This window comes from Homo sapiens, chromosome 2 (genome assembly GCF_000001405.40).
Source record: "Homo sapiens chromosome 2, GRCh38.p14 Primary Assembly".
Classification (NCBI taxonomy): Eukaryota; Metazoa; Chordata; class Mammalia; order Primates; family Hominidae; genus Homo; species Homo sapiens.
The window spans coordinates 105393124-105410027 of record NC_000002.12 but is presented as its reverse complement, the minus strand read 5'-3'; the positions used below and the strand labels follow the sequence as shown (position 1 = coordinate 105410027).

The 16904-nt window shown below is 45.0% G+C and overlaps 1 protein-coding gene across 11 annotated transcripts in view, besides 4 other annotated features; it reads left to right on the top strand.

Moving 5' to 3' along the window:
• FHL2 (four and a half LIM domains 2) overlaps nucleotides 1–16904 on the top strand; it is an 80818-nt gene that overhangs the window by 28502 nt on the left and 35412 nt on the right. For 3 of the 11 annotated variants that reach the window (NM_001318898.2, NM_001318895.3, NM_201555.3), the window contains exons 1-2: nucleotides 10977–11186; nucleotides 13331–13381. The exons of 2 other annotated variants lie outside the window; for them this stretch is intronic. The gene's annotated coding sequence lies outside the window, so the exon portion shown is untranslated. Of the gene's footprint in view, nucleotides 1–10360; nucleotides 10807–10976; nucleotides 11187–13330; nucleotides 13382–16904 lie in introns of those variants that run through there. 6 more of the 11 variants (NM_001039492.3, NM_001318899.2, NM_001374399.1 and 3 more) reach the window with 5 other exon arrangements.
• Nucleotides 10374–11196: an enhancer, noted in NCBI's record as "H3K27ac hESC enhancer chr2:106015289-106016111 (GRCh37/hg19 assembly coordinates)". NCBI's record gives its function as "activates a minimal SCP1, AML or CMV promoter by ChIP-STARR-seq in naive H9 embryonic stem cells {active_cell/tissue: H9 hESC(naive)}" and the evidence as "EXISTENCE:reporter gene assay evidence [ECO:0000049][PMID:30033119]".
• Nucleotides 10374–11243: a biological region, named in NCBI's record as "H3K27ac hESC enhancer GRCh37_chr2:106015289-106016111".
• Nucleotides 10874–11003: a silencer, noted in NCBI's record as "silent region_11839". NCBI's record gives its function as "represses an Ori minimal core promoter by ATAC-STARR-seq in GM12878 lymphoblastoid cells {active_cell/tissue: GM12878}" and the evidence as "EXISTENCE:reporter gene assay evidence [ECO:0000049][PMID:35858748]".
• Nucleotides 11024–11243: a silencer, noted in NCBI's record as "silent region_11838". NCBI's record gives its function as "represses an Ori minimal core promoter by ATAC-STARR-seq in GM12878 lymphoblastoid cells {active_cell/tissue: GM12878}" and the evidence as "EXISTENCE:reporter gene assay evidence [ECO:0000049][PMID:35858748]".

The following is a 16904-nucleotide window of genomic DNA, read 5'->3' as shown; positions in this document are numbered from 1 at the left end:
CACAGTAATCTCAGCATCCCCAGCTCAGCCTGGTAAGTGGGCTGAGCTCCTGGTATTCCTGATCCTTGGCAGTGTCCCTTCATTCCAGCGTACTTGGCACTGGCCCTCGTGTGGGAGTCCAGGCATGAGTCGGCTTGCTCTCCTGGCGGAGATGCTAGGGCAAGTTTCCCAGGCATGAACTGTGGCTTTGTTACCTACTTCATGGAAAAGTGCAGCCACGTGTTTTTCCAGTCTGATTCACACAGGCAGCTCCAGGTCTTCAGAGGAATCAAGAACAACCAGCCCTGAGATGGCTCCAAGGTGGATTTTATATCACCCCTTCGCATCCTCTTTCTGGGACAAAGAGCCTAGATGGGCATGTGAACAATAATATCATATTATTTACTAACACATCAGAAATGGGATTCTCTCAAACAATGATCAAAATGGTAGCATTGATCCTAAGCACATACGCATATTTAAACTGGCACCAAGCTGTTAATTATGTTAATGCCTTTATGGCACAAAAATGTAAAATTTACTATTAACTTGGGGGCTGACCTAAAGAGCTGGCAAATCTCCCCTATCCTTCCCTATCTGGCTATCTTGCTGGGCTTGCAATGCCAGGGCCTACTTAGAATAGCCACAGCCACACATGAGCATCATGGGAGACTTCTGGGGGCAACTTCAGCTTCTTCCTCTAAAATGATTCCCGACTCCCAGAAATCAGCAGGTGAATTACACCCAGCGCCCTTGTTTGCACATATAAATTGCACAGCTGCCAAGTGCAGACTCCTTGAATATTTCCCCAACAAAAACTTCCTTTGGCTTGCTCTCCCCATAGTCTCTTTCTTTCCCTCACTTGCCCATTTTTCCTGCAGAGGGTCTCCTTTTGTTCTCACTGGGCCTGCTCCTCCCAACTGGTCTCTGAGGTTCCCTCTCTGTGAGCTAAAGCCTCAAAGCATGAAGGCTTTCTCCTTCTTTGGGCCACAACACCCTCTCTCAGCCATTCCTACCCCCACCTCCTGCTGCTTTCTTGCACCCACAGAGAGGACACCATGACCTGGTGCTGCCTTGGCTCAGCCTGGTCTCCCCTCTGCCCTTGCTCTGCTGCCTGCTACATCACGTTGGATGTAGGGTCCCTCTGAAACTGCCTGTCTTCTGAGAGCTTCAGACGGAAAGGGGAAGAAAGTAATCTTTCAAGACTCTAAGAGTAAGATCCACTCTGGATCTCACCTTCCTATACCAAAAATGTCACCCTATCAGCAGTCAAAATATGCTAATAAATAAGATGAACATCATAGTGGCAATCATGGTGGTAGTAGTGATGACGAAAGATTGCTCCTCCAAACTCTGCATCTAGGATCAGGGCCATCATGTGTATGCTCACTAACTGTCTGCCCCATTAGTTCTGCTCCAGCCAGGAGCTGCTGTCCTTTCTCTGCATCCACGTGCCAGTTGTAAGTGAGGAAGAGTGACCTGTCCAAAATAAATGAATTCTCGATACAAAGCCAACTGGCTGGGTGAAGCCGTACTTCTCGTAAGGGAAGGCTGTGAAGGGAAGGCTGTGATTCTGCAAGTGCCAAAGTGCTGGTTCCAGTCTTGGTTGGAAAGTGTTCTAAGACAGGCTGTGGATGCTCAAATCAACATTAGGATTACATGACTTGGAAATTCCCAGTCATCTCTGTGGGTTTGGATGGTGATAGTCAAGGAAGGTGTGCATGTATTAGTCAAACTTATCTTTTGAAAATATTTATACATCCAAAATACGTGCAAGTGAGGGGAAAATACCAGTTTCTCAATCCAAGTGAGTCCACCTTAAAACAGGTAGGGTTGAAAGGCAGTGGTCATATGTGGGCCATCTCTGCCGGCTGCCTAGCAAAAGCACACTGCAACTGTGAGGGTACCTCTGCAAAGCCACAGAATAGTTGTTGTCATGGCAAGTAGGCCTGCTTCCACAAATGAGACATGCTCATGCTGGTAGAGATGAAAGAACCTTTATGGAATTTCTGTGGGAGACAGAATTTTTGTTTAACTTTGTATGTTACCATTTATGCAGACAGAAATTTTTTAAAGCATTTGATAGAAAATCAACAAGCTTCAAGCAGAAACTAAAGCCATGAATTCCCCAGATAGACTCCTAAAAATTAAGATGGTGGCTTCCGTTTGCAGGATGCAGATTTCAAGGAAGTCCCTCAATGAGTGGCCTTCTCTGCGATTAAGGCCTAGGCTGGTGGTGGTGGTGGCAGCGGGGGGAGGATTGGGGCAGGAGAAGAAGCCCCTCACTAGCAAAGAAAAGCTGGACTCTGAGAGAGAAGCACCATCCCAAGAACGTCCACATGCACACTTCCCTGCAGCCTCATTTTCAGCTCTTCATTGTATCTGCGGATGCTGTAACCTGGGGGTTACTTCCTTTAATTCAGGCAGAGATTCCCAAGTTTGCATCTGCTGATATCTGGAAGGCCAAGCTCTTGGCTTTGCTTTAATTCAAGTTATTTGCCAACTGGATCTCGGTGCAAAGCCCAGATAACTCGACTGCCTAAATGGGAAATGGGCTTGATGTGTTTGTTCTGAGCAGGGTCATATAGAGCCATTATATAGCAGCCTTATGTTGGCTTAGGCATTTTCTTTCCTTCTTCTTTTTTTTTTTTTTTTTTGAGACAGAGTCTCGCTCTGTCACCCAGGCTGGAGTGCAGTGGAGCGATCTCAGCTCACTGCAAGCTCCACCTCCTGGGTTCATGCCATTCTCCTGCCTCAGCCTCCTGAGTAGCTGGGACTACAGGCGCCCGCCACCACGTCCAGCTAATTTTTTGTATTTTTAGTAGAGACAGGGTTTCACCGTGTTAGCCAGGATGGTCTCTATCTCTTGACCTTGTGATCCACCCACCTTGGCCTCCCAAAGTGCTGGGATTATAGGCGTGAGCCACCACGCCCAGCAGCTTAGGCATTTTCAAGAAAACTGAATTAAATTCAGTAATACTGATCAAGCTGCAAAGTGCTGTGAACACAGATTCAAATGTCTCAGTTCTTGCCCCTAAGGAGCTCACAGTCTCCTCTGTTGTTATAAACATGGGAAAGAAGGAGTGGACTGGTCAAAAATGAGGCTATGATGGCTATCCATGCAGCTTTCCTAGTTGGGATACCTTATTTGGTCTAAGGATAAACAGGAGTCCACCAGGCAGAAGAGAGTGAGGAAGGGAGTTCCAGCAGTCACAGGATGAAAGGCTCTCCCCTCACTGGCCGCAGGTAGAACATGTGAGGTGCAAAGAGAGTGAGCAGCGAGGGCTCTCAAAGACTCTCTCCTGCGCAGGATTGCAGTGTCTGCTTTCCTGACCTCATCATTTTCCAAACATATTCTTAGAAAAAGAAAACCTCTCAAGCATTCTTTCCATCTGCTTCTACCCTGACCTGGAAATTCAAGGGACCAGAAGCAATACAGCAATACAGACAGACCCTCCATGCAAAGAGCGTGAGACAGAGAACTGAGTCCAGAAAGTGTTAGCAATGGCTGGGAAGCTAGATTACATTACAGCCATGTGCCAAATGGAAATTGAATTTCAAGTTATCAAAAGGAAGGCCAAAAAAAAAAAAAAGATAAGAAAAAGCCCTCGAGTTTAAAGATGGCTACATGAATAGTTCAGATATCTGATGGTGATTCACCGCTGGAACCCCTCCGGCCCTCCATGGAGACAATGACTCCTCTGGTCTTACTGAGGAGTAATTGCTCAGCATCTCTGACTGTACACACGATTCCAAGTATATTTATAGTGTTAGGATGGCCCAGAATTTTTGAAGGTTTTTTTATTTTTGCCAAACAGTCCTGCCAGGAGATGCTGAAGGTCAGATATTTTAGAAAATCTGTTTCTGGTACTTCAGCAGTCAACTACTATTGCAAGGATGGAGAAAGATGCTTGGTTGTTCCAGGAAGCTCTGTCATGACTCCCAGGTCCAATTTTAAAGTACCTTCTGAAATAGGTGAAAGGTATTCCTAAACATGCTCTCTAGAACTTAAAGCATAGGTTTTCATCACACACAAATCTGTACCATGGGGCAGAATTAGCCACAGGAGACATTCTCAATTGTCAATTAGCCATAAAAGTGGCTTGAGGAAAAACTAGATAATGTGAAATAACTCTTTAAAGGAAGAAGAGAGGTGGTACATTCTTTATTTCACAGATAATGTAAAGAAGACATACAAAGGTGAAGGGTGTTACCTGTGGCCACATACACTGCTCCATAGGAGCTCCTGGACCTGGGGTTCACCCCCTGCCTCCTAGAGCCTGGCCAGTCCAGGCTCTTTCTAGTTAGACTATTGGGATTTTCTGTTAATGACCCTAATCAAAGTGGAAATAGCACAAAACGACCTTGGTGGCAGTGAAGAGAGAACTTGGGATTTCAAATTTTTAATGTTGACTCATAAAGTTAATTCACAAAGAATAACAGATCTTGGTGTGGTTTAAAATAAACACTCTTGCCAGCCATGGTGGCTCACGCCTGTAATCCTAGCACTTTGGGAGGCCATGGCAGGGGAATCACTTGAATCAGGGAAGGCAGAGTTTACAGTGAGCGGAGATTGCTCCACTGCATTCCAGCCTGGGTGACAGAGTAAGACTCTGTCTCAAATAAAATAACATAAACATTCTGAGGAACAAGTGAGGCATGAGACTCCCCCATTTCAGAAATGCCTGGAAGAATCTCCCATTTCAGGTATTTTAGGGAAGCAAACCGTTCACTCAAAAGAGAATTTTGCCAGGTTTGCACAGACTTTAGACATTAATACTTCCTTTAAATGGATTTTGGAATCATTGACAGAGGAAAAAAAGAGTAAAACTCTAAGAGAAGGCAGGCAGAGAAGTGAATGGATTGCTCCTGAAAAGGACTGAAATCAGAGACAAAGAGATCTCAAATAAGAAGCAAAGTTTTTCAGAGTCTACCTTACAAATACTTTTCATCTGAAACCATCCAGCAACATTTACTGGCCCAAATGAACTATGGGTGTGAATAGTTTCATTCTATTGGTCATTAATGTACCAAACAGAGTCTTTCTTAAAGAGGTATCAAAGCCACAGTGGAAACTGTATCCGACGCTCCAAATAAACTCTAACCAAGGATGGGAAACTCGGAATCATGGAGTTGTTTGTGGATTTGGCTAAAAGTCAGGCATGTTTTGAGGCTTTAAACACTGATTATTTATATCCAACAAATAGTTTGTGAAAAAGGAGAGAGGGAAGAAATGGGATATGGAAATTGTGTATCTCAAGAAAGAGCCAATCATTTTCCCTCCTAACCAGAGCATGGCAGAAGGGAGAAGAAAAGGAAAAGAGCTTGCCCTTTGTGGAAAGCTGAGCTTTTCCTGAAAGTCTGACAGGCAGAGAAACAAAGTTTGGATCCTGCAAGATCGTTCCTGTAACCAGATCAAGTTCCTCCTGTTTGCTGGAGGCCCTTGGGTCTCCCGTCACAACTGCACCCAGCTCACGGGCACAGGCAGGTGCATACCCTGCCCGTAGAGTCATCTTTCATAGACTTCCCTGCTGGATCCGGGCAAATAGTGTTTCCAGAAAAAGCGAATCCAGCTTTCTGTGCCACCACCCTGGGATCTGGTACTGTGTCATGGGAAGGCATGCAGGGACTTGCCTCCTGACCCCACTGCCAGGAGGGGTGCTGGTTTGATCACTCCTGACCCCTTCCCGCCAGCATTTATGATCTTAGACACTTACTCACCTTCCAACCATGTGAGGCAATTAAGAATGATTGCCTCTGAATCAAGGGCAAATCATCCACCAGTTTCCTGGCCAAGGTTTGAGTGGGAGGAACAGCTTGTGTGAAATCCTTTAACGGTGACAAAATGCTTAACAATCTTGATGGCAGTGGTCAGTTAGGGTAACGAACATAGGGCGGTCTGACCTCCAGCTCATGTTTTCCTGTGTTCACTTTCTACCTGGTAATGGTGAGCTCATCCTAATCCCCCTGGGGTAGCCCCCATCCGGGTAGGAGGCTACTGTTGGCCCCTGCACAGATGGGTCTAGCCCACCAGCCTCCCCCCCACGACCCCACCACAGGGTGGCAGTTGCGAGCACACGCCTAGAAGCCCTGCCTTTCTTTGGCCTCTCCCAGAGAATGAAATTTCAGCATTTGTACAGCTCAGACCCACTGGCTGAAACTTCTACCTCCTGGCTCAAACTTCTACCTCCTGCTTCCCTGAGTGAAGTAACTGACAGAGGAAGTAATACTTCCAACTGGATTTTAGAGTTCCTGAGTCTAGTCTATGTTTAGTCTATCTCTATTTCCCTGTCCCTCCCCCACGCCCTAAACTGACATTTCGTAGGTTTCTGGTAAATTACCGAGTCCAGAGTTGGAAGCCCTAAGTGGTATTTATTTTACTTCAAATCACCTTTAGTCATCAGAATCACCTGGAGGGCGTGTTAAAGCAGGAGCTGGCCTGAGAATGTGCACTTCTAACAGGTTTGCAGGGGATCCTGCTGCACTCTGGGACAAGGCTTTGAGACCTGCTAGCCGCAGGAAGTCTTTTCCTCTCTTTCCTCCCTTCCTAGCTGTGCCTCTCCCTGAAGCCCACCTACAGGAGAGACGGGAAAACGTTATGGGCAGTGTTGTCTCAAGAAGGAATGTCAGGATAATTGGAATAAACAAAAGAAGAACTTGAATAACTGATCACAGTCACCGTTGATCCTTTCCCCAGGAAATAGTACTTTTTGTTTTTATTTTCTTCCATGAACTAGCCTTTTATCCATAGCAGAGAGGTTTTCTCTCAAGAAGAAACAGGATCTGAACAGGATCTGAACCTTAATTCTTCTTCTGGTGGGAGTTCAGTCCATTTCCTTCTTATTCTGGATTAATTTCCCCTTTGCCATTGAATAAAACAGAGGACTTTACAAAGGGCCTACTTCATGCCAAGTAATGTGTTAATAGTTCTAAGTGGTTTATGTGCATCTCAAAAGACCTTCGCCACAATTTCACAGACTATATGTTATTAGCCCATTTTACAAACTAGCAAACTGAGGGTTAGGGAAGTTTTGTAGTTACTGGAGATCATAGTAGTCATAGATAGAACAGAGATTCAAATCCTGGCTTGACTTCAAAGATCAAGCTATGCTGCCATAGACAGCATTACGCTTTCTATAGTGAAAGACTTGTCACAAACAATTCTGTGATCTGTCACTTATTCAATACACATATTTATTAAGCACATACTATGTGCCATGCTCTATAATTAATTAGGTCCTAGGAATATAATGATGTACAAGATGGATGGAACTTTTCAAAACATATTTTCTTAGATTGTCTCATGAAAATTTGTTTTTAATACTTTGTCCTTCGATGGAATTGCTCATGAAAGCATATGTCATTAAACCCAGAAATTGCATTCCCCTCCTCAATTTCTTGCCATCCTCCTTTGACTTACTATTAATATCAGTTTAACAAATTTGTTTCCTATTTTCCTTAAAGGAGTCTGTTGCTTTTATTTTTAAAATATATTTAGTTTTTGGGCCAGGCATGGTCGCCCACGCCTGTAATTTCAGCACTTTGGGAGGCCAAGTGGGTGGATCACAAGATCAGGAGATCAAGACCATCCTGGCTAACATGATGAAACCTCGTGTCTACTAAAATTATAAAAAATTAGCCGGGTATGGTGGCACATGCCTGTAGTCCCAGCTACTCAGGAGGCTGAGGCAGGAGAATCGCTTGCACCTGGGAGGCAGAGGTTTCAGTGAGCCAAGACAGTGCCACTGTACTCCAGCATGGGCAACAGAGCAAGACTCCATCTCAAATACATATATATATACACACACACACATATATATATACACACATATATATACATATATACACATATATATACATATATACATACAGATACATATATACATATACATACATGTGTATATGTGTGTATATGTGTATATGTATATATGTATATATACGTGTATATATACACGTATATATACACATATATACATGTATATGTACATACATACGTATATATACGTATATATATATTCGTGTATATATACGTATATATGTATATATTCGTGTATATATATATTTAGTTTTTGAATGAGTACATTAACATAGCTCAAAATTTACAAGAAATAAAAATGTGTACAGTAAAAATTAATCTCCTTTCCACCCCATGACCCCTAGCCACTCAGATCTCCCCAGAAGCAACCGCTTATAAATATACATTGTCTTCCCCCGTCCTTTCTTTGCTCATGAACACAAATGGTTGGTTTCTACCTACAAAGTGTTCTCTACTTTTATTTTTCTCAGTTGATTTATCTTGGAGATCATGCCAAATCAGTAAATATAGTTACCTCGTTCATTTTAACAGCCGCATATGTAAATAATTCTAAAATGCACCATACTGTATTTAACTAAGCCCTTGTTGACGAACACATAACATGGCCCAGTATTTTTCTATTACAAACAATTCTACAATGACTACTCTTGTGTGTCTATCGTTTTACACAGGAGCAAGTATATCTACAAGATAATTTCCTATAAAGGGAAATGCTGGGTAAAGAGAAAATGGTATGTTCATCTGTAATTTAAAAATGTTTTCATTATGGAATTTTTCAAGCATTACAAAAGGAGACAGACTAGTAAGATGAACTGCTGCATATCCATCATCAAGCTTCAGCGATTATCCACAATCCATGGCTGATAGTATTTCGTATATATATAGGCCCTATCCATTTCCCCACCCCAAATTATTTTGAAACAACTCCAGGCATAATGTTATTTCACTAGGAAATATTTTGGCACTGTTCTTGAAAAGCAAGGACTTAAGAAAAGAAAAATATATGTGTGTGTGTAATCACATTATCACCCCTAACATAAATTGTTCATTAATACTAGAAAATATCCTGTCAGTGTCATATTTTCCAAGGTTGTCTCATAAAAATTGATTTTCTACTAGTTTATTCTTTGATTAGAATCCAATAAGATCCAAAAAAAAAAAAAAAAAAGAATCCAATAAGATCCATACATGGCAGTTGGCTAAGTCTTTTTTTAATCTCTTGGTTCTGTCTCCATCTCTCTTGTTTTTCTTTGTGCATCGTTGTTGTAGAAACTGGGTATGTTTGTTTCCAGAGTCCGGATTTTACTGACCCTATCGAATGACCACAGGGTCATTTAAAATGTTCTGCTACCCATTAGGTCAAAAATTAAACACAAAATTAAATTGCAGAATTTCTTAATAATAAAACACAACATAGCTGAACCTATGTGACACAGCTAAAGCAGTTATTAGAAGAAAAATAACAGAACTAAATAACTCTATCAGTAAAAAAGCAAAGCTAAATGGATTACACCCGTAAGTCAGAAAGCTAAAAAAAAAAAAAAAATTAAAATATAAGACAAAAGGAATCAGAAAGAAGATAAATGCAGAATTAATGTTTCATCATTTTAGGGCTTGTTTTTACAAACTGAAGCTTAAGACTCACCATTTGAGAACTAGGAGACCATTTCCTAATTTGTAACGATATCAACAACACATCTAGGTAGCTGTCAGGGGCTGGGAGCCTTTTCTACACAAACTTTGCTCTGAATTTCAAAATACTAGCCTGTCTTGACACTTAGTGGAAATTCAGGTAGGGTGGCCTTAACTCAGGTTCTTCAGGAAAGCGTCCTGTTTCAGGGACACAGTGGGGTGGGGTCGGGGGAGGGCTGTATTCCGCACATCTAGTTCTGGCTGGGCTTATGGCAAGTCTCAGTCCTCTGGAGTCACCTGAGTGACTGAGGGATGAGAGGCATTTCTGATCCCGTAATATACTTACATGGCTTTGCCATCTACCACATCCCAGTTCAAATCTCAGCTGGCACAGTTACCGTTCACGTGGCCTGGAGCAAATCTGAGCTGAACTTTCCTCACCGTAAATCTGGTAAAAATCTTTACCTTAAAGGAGTGTGGATCAAATGAGATACCAGGTAGAGCTAGTGCTCACCGAGTGGAAGCTAAGGTGATGAAGCCCCTTTATTCTCAAGTTCTGTGATTCCATGATGGAGACCCATGAGGCCTACCAGACGGAGAGTATCAATTAAAAGAAAGCAATCACGGAGTTCTTCCCGCCTTCTCTGGAGGATGTATTCCTATGAGCTGCCCCGAATGTTAAAAATAATACACCTGCCCCCAAAGTGCCGAGGACGCCTTTGTGGTCCACCTACTCATCGTCCACCGGTTTCTGCAAGTGGACCGGTTACCTGCTCAGGAGCAAATGTTTCCATCACGACGCACCCTCTCCCAGGGATGGGCTCAACCTGTGCTCTCCCTGCGACAATGCTGAACAGTGCCATCTGTCCCTACCCAGCGTCAGCGTCACGCAGAGGGCCCGGGCTTGGAATGTGGGAGGCACGCTCCCAGCTCACTTTGGTTTTCCCGCCCTGGAGGGGAATCCAAGATGTCTAACTAGTCTTCTGGCCCCGAGAGGGAGAGGTGGGGATAGGACCTTCCTTTAGTCCCCTCCGTAGTGGAACGAAGGATTCTTTATGGTCATCTGTGGTGTTCATTTCGTAAAGAAGCATCTGCAGGGTAAGAAGGAAAAACGTCCACCTTGCAAATATATCCCAGGCACATGCCTCCTGAGAAGTGACCCCCTCCTCCCTCCGCCTCCCCCGGCACGTCCTGGGGCTTCTCCAGTCTCCCGCTCCTGGGACCAGGCAGAGATCCCGGCGTGGGCAGACCCCTGCCACCGCGCCCAGGCCTCGTCCGAAACTCGCGCCCGAGAGCCCACGCCGGAGGCGACGCTCCCGATAACTACTGTGCTCCCAAGACCCGGAGGGCACGAAGAAAGGAGCCCTGGCAAACAAAGGGTACGGGCCGGGACCGCCGCAGCCCGGGGCGGGGGCACGGCAACCGCGAGGCCTGGGGGCGCCCGCCCCCCGCGCCCCACGCCCGGTGCCAGCGAGCCGAGGCGTGCATCTCCTTATATGGTCAAATGACACGGCGGGGTTTCTCGAGGGCGGGAGCTGCGCAGCGCTCCACTCGGCCGGCAGCGGAGCCGCAGCCACCAGCCGCCCGCGCCCTCCAGCCCCGTCCGGGAGTCCCCGGCCCGCTGCGGTGCCGTGAGTACCTCCAACCCCCTGCGCCCCGGAGGGAGGCCGAGGGGCTTAGCCACCAGGGCTCGGAAGTGGGGGCCGAATCCGGTGCGAGACCCAAGGAGAGGGGAGCAGAGCCGGAGTTGGGGAGACTGGTGAGAGGAGAGCAGAGCTGTGGGTCCGGGAAGACCACTGGGAGAGGGGACCCGAACCGTGCGGGGAGAAGCCGGGAGAAAGGAGTTGAGCTGTGGGGTAGACCCGGGAGAGGAGAGCCGAACCCTGGGGGTTGGGGGTGGGGAGACCACGGGGAGAGGGGAGCGGAGCAATGGGAGGGGTCTAGACCCTGGGGGCGCTGGAGCTCAGAGGAGCCCACCGACTCATCCCCAGAGGGAGGACTGCAGCCCGCGTCCTCACCAGGTGGGGCACCGCCATGCGGGCAGGGACCGGGCGAGCCTGGGTAAAGGCTGGCCGCGGGTCCCAGCCGGCGGCTGCGGGGAGGTGACGCTGTCCGCCTGCTTCCAGGCCCGACTCCCGAGCGGGCTGTCCTGGCACGGTGGTCTGCGCGGGGGAGTCCGGGCCATTTCCCTTTAGTAGAAATAAGTGGAGTTTGCAGTGTGACCTCGCTCCTTGACTCAGGTAGACATTTAATAACTGAACCATTCGGTTAAAACAAAAATGGCTTATTTTAAATGAAAAGATTCTAAGTTTTTCTTAAGTCGCACTCGTGTGATATCTTAGCATACCAGAAATAGAGGGAAGAAAATATTGAGTGTTTTTCTGATTTTAAATGAATCAGTCATATTTATTTTCATATCCTCAGTCGGGTTTTAACTGGAAGTAGGCTAATCCGGTTAGCTGAAATGTGTAGCTGGCTTGCAAGCAGCAGTGTACTTAGACATCACTGAACTTAAGGCCCGCACTCCCTTCCACATATTTTGGAAGGTAATAAATCACAATTTGGGTTTAGAATCAGGAGAACTGTCTTCAAAACACAACTCCCAATACATCTCACATTTTTGGTGCTGACTCTACTAATGAGTGTTTTATAATAATATATTAAAGAAAAGAGGTTTTGCACTATCCTGAAGATGTTTTAGACAAAAAAAAACAAAAAACAAAAAAACAAAAACCATTTGCATCAAGTCTTAGAAGTACAGGAATTCCTAGTCTATCAATTAAACTTTAATAAAACCAAACTCAAAGAACATTTCATTGTGCATTTATATAAAATTTTGTCAAGTGTTACTGGATTTAGATCACCCCCCAGTTTAGAAGATCATCAGTTAATACACAGAATTGTGTTTCCACGGTGTTTATTAGCCTGCCATGGTTTAAAATGCGTTTACACCATAACATGTCGATGAAGGCTAATGATGGGCTTACTACAGACCAGAAACTGTTCTGGGCACATAGGTTCTGTCTCATTTTAGCTCACCGTCTCACAAATAGCCACAGGCAGATGCAGTAGGCTAGGGGATGCCGGGGACTGCATGTAGGCTGCCTAAATTTACATCCGGGTCCCTCAACCTGTGCAGCCTGGGCCAAGTCACTTAATCTCGTAGTGTCTCGGTTTTCTCCACTGGGAAACAGGGACAATGATGTTGTCTTTTTGTTAGGGTTGTTAAGAAGCCTGGACATCATAGACAGTGTATACATATTTGATAGCCTCATTTTTACAGGTAAAGACACTGAAAACAGAGATCAAAGTAACTTTAACTCAGGGTTTCCCGGGCTGTAAATGGTAGCCCTGAGATCTGACCCCAGGCAGCTTAACTGGAGAACCTGAGTTCTAACCACTAAACGCACCACGGGAGGAACATTTGAATATTTATTTATTTTTTTTAACATTTGAATATTTCTATGAGGCCTTATGATGCATACTTTGACCCAAGATTGCGTGTTAAACCATTTCCAGTACTGAAAGATATTTAAATTGCAGTCAAAAACGCCCAATAGAATATTGCCAAAAAAAAAAAAAAAAAAAAACAGACTAGATATCAGGAGTAGTTTACTCCTGTCCTGTGCCGAGGGCCAGTTACTCAGCCTCAGTGACTCAGGCAGCCTCCTTTGTCAGCACCGGGCCTGAGTCGCTAAGCGGCTCTCTGACTCAGATGCCCTGAGGTACAAAGTTCCTTGAGCTTGGGTGAATGGAAACATTAGACATTGGGTTCTTCTGTGCGGTTTTATTATGAGAATTTGATCAAAGCCACATTTATTAAGTGTCCATCTCAAGTTGCATTATACTGAGTTCGCTTCCTCAAGATGACCATCTGAAACAAAACACGTGTGCTTTCTCTAGTGGCTGAGAACTGTGTCTTCCTGGAGACTAGGCTGGCATTTTGACTTTGGGGTGAGTCAAGTGAATTTCCTCTGTTATCCTAAATTGTGGATTTCAGTTTTAGCTACTGTGATGGTTACTTTCATGTGTCAACTTGACTGGGCCATGCGGTGCCCAAACATTCAGTCATATGTTCTGGGTGTGTCTGGGAGGGTGTTTTTGGATGAGATTGACATATGAATGGGTAGACTGAGTAAAGCAGGCTGCTCTCCATAATGTGAGTGGGCCTTGTCCAAACAGTTGAAGGCCTGAATAGAACAAAAAAACTGAGTAAGAGGGAAGCCCCCCTGCCGGACTGCTTGAGCTGGGACATTGGTCCTTTCCGCCTTTGGACTCACACTGAAACATCGGCTCTTCTTGGGTCTATAGAGTCTCCTCTTTTCAGACTGCAATTTGCACCATCGGCTCTCCTGGGTCTCCAGCCTACTGACTGCAGGTCTTGGGACTTTTTCACCTTCGTAATTGTGTGAGCTAAATCATTGCGATAAATCTCTCTATGTACATCTCTTGTTGGTTCTATTTTTCTAGAAAACCCTGACTATTACAGCTCTCTGGTAACATCTATTTAAAAAGTCTCCCCACCAACTGTCATTCTCCCTTTTTTTAAGATTTGATCACTACTTTGCTCCTGGGAGTCTTGGCTTTCCTCTTGCTGTAAAACATGCTCTCTGCATGGGGATGTCACGAGGGGTCTGGAGCAGCGTCTGGTCTCCCAGGTCCATCCCAGTGCTCGTGGGTGGTGTCTTGCCTGGTGTGAACTTAGACTTCACACTCATCCTCAGCCTTCGGTGGCCCACGCCTTTACTAGCCTGATTCTGTCTGCGGCTTCAAGATCCTCCCGTCATATGGTCTTGAGTGAGATGTGGGATGTCTGTGGCAGAAGCAGCTGCCCTGTTTTCATGGGTGAACAGAATTAATGCCAGAATGTCCTTGCAGTATGTAAATATGGAGCTTGTCAGTCAACAAGGAAATAGACCTGTCTGCTTGGGTTAATACAACTTTTGGAGTCACTAAGAAGCAGGCAGTCAATGAAGGAAGCAGAAGGAACTGTGCAAGCCTCTCGGGACAGAGTCCTGTTGCAGTGCGCCAGAGAAACCCCACAGAGTGGCAGGACTGCAGTGAGAAGGAGGTGGCCAGTCATTCATGGAAGCTGCTGGATGCCAAGAGAAAGGCCAGCATGGGGGTGGGGGTCATAGGCACCTCAGATAGCTGGGAGAGTGAACAGTGAGCCGCACTTGGGAGGTGAGAGGAGACCCCTGCCATGAAGAAGAGTGGGTGGTTTTCGTTTTGTAGGTGTAGAAGTGTTCGTAACTCACTCAGGGAAGGCATGGTAGAGCCATAGCATGCAGGATGGAGTCTCCCTTGGTCCCCACACTGGTGTGATTGACGGACCCGAGGCCACCCGCCATTCTAGCGTGTGCAGCTATGGTTGTCCTGCATGGCTGCAATTGATGTGTTTTGAGATTAAATGACAAGATGGGATCTTAAAGGTGATTTAAATTATTTGGAGCTAGAACTAGACTGGAACTCCTTCATAGACTGTGTGTTTTATCTCAGCTTCCCAGTGCCTCACGTAGCACATGGAAAACAGTGGTTACTCAACACATTCTTGTCGGCTGGGTTCAAAAGGCTGAACGACATCAAAACAAGTGTAACTCCTCTTGTAGTCATGGACTTCAGATCAGAAATTTGATATTTATTGTTTTCCCTTTATTTTTAGTATTCAATATTCAAAAGATAATTCAGAAGACAGCAGTTTACCTTATTCAAACATTGCCTCATGCAGAACCACCAGAGATGAAGATGTTTATTTATTTTTTTTAAGTTGGAAGTTACCAGTTTATGTAAACTATAATACACCTCTGACACCTGTCTGTACATGCATTTAGTAAAGGCTTATTAAATTAATCTGTAAATATATTATACAGTGGTAAGCATAGTCAATTTTATACCTTACAAACTAAGATTGTTTAAAATCCAACAATTTAAAAATAGATTTCAAGTGGATGCTAGATACTTTTTTTCTTTCTTTCTTTTTTCTCTTTCTTTCTTTCTTTCCTTCTTTTCTTTTTTTTTTCCCAGGGTCTCATTCTGTTGCTCAGGCTGGAGTGCAGTAGCTTTTCACAGGTGCCATCATAGCTCACTAAAGCCTCAAACCCCTGGGCTCAAGCAGTCCTCCTGCCTCAGTCTCCCAGGTAGCTAGGACTGTAGGCACACATCACCATATCCAACTGATATAAATTTTTTTTTTTTTTTAGAGACCGGGTCTTACACTGTGGTCCAGGCTGGAGTATAGTGGCAGCACTACAGCTCACTGCAGCCTCGAACTCTTGGGCTCAAGAGATCCTCTCTCTTTAGGGACTCCAAGGCTTGATCCATTATTCTAGTTTATAAAACAGCAACTTTCCTTGACATGATGGCCCTCTCCGTTTTATCAGAATTTCTGTTTAAAACAACCCGTTTAGCTAGACAAATGAAGAGTGTTGGGGGTGAGCGGTTTTTGTGTGTAGATACTCCCATCCGTAGGAAAATAAAATGGTGCGGGGTATTCTCTGAGCACATTTCCAGGTGTGAGAGTCCCGTGCCTTTGAATGGAGGATCTTTGATTATAGGCATCACATGTCTGTAGAACATCAGGGCCTTCTGCTGACACCTGGAGCCCGTGTTGGGGATCTGTGCGTTCTTCCCAAAGTGGGCACGACTCCCAGCTGGCTTTTTGCTTCTTGACCTGGCCAGGCTGCATCCTGGACTGTGCAGCTGTGTGTTCACATGGGATTGGAGTCCAAACACAATAAGAAGAGTTATATCCGCTGCGGAAGCAGCAGCTTATCTGGAAGGAGGGACGAGGGCAGCGATGGAAGCTCATGATGTCATATGCCAAACCACATTACATGTTGGGTTTGCTATGCAGAGTGGATTGTTCACATAATATGTTTCTAATTTTTCATGCTTGATTTTTGCCTGTATGTTTGTACTCTGACATGTTTGTATTCATCCACCCGTCAATTCATTTGTTCATCCATTCCACAAGTATTCACAAAGCCCCTGGTCCTGTGTGTGTTCCCTGCTGGTGAGGTCTCAGCGACAGGTAGTGGGCACCCTTCCCAATGCTTACGGTTGGTAGAAGACGGGGCAATTGCATGAAAACACTGCACTTTTATAATGTATTTTTTAAAAGAGCCCACATAGACCAGTTTTCCTAATTGTCTCTGGAAAGCTCTGGTTGATTATTGATAAGTAATTGAATATCCCTTGCGGATCCCCGGTGACATCTAAAGATACAGGGACTGACTTACCGAAGCTGCTTTTGCATGTGTTGAAGGGCTGCATGCAGGAAGGGCTTGGGGACGTTCACAGATTTCTCCTTAGGAAATGGCTATGTTAGAGGAGCCTCCTGCAGCAGGGTTGATAGGGAGAAGCACTTGGGGTTTCAAAGGGGGAGGAGAAAATGGGCCCATTGGGGTCAGATCAAAGTAGGTAGTCAATAAAAGGTGCATTGAAAAGGATGCTTAAATAGACTTCTTTTGCTAATCTG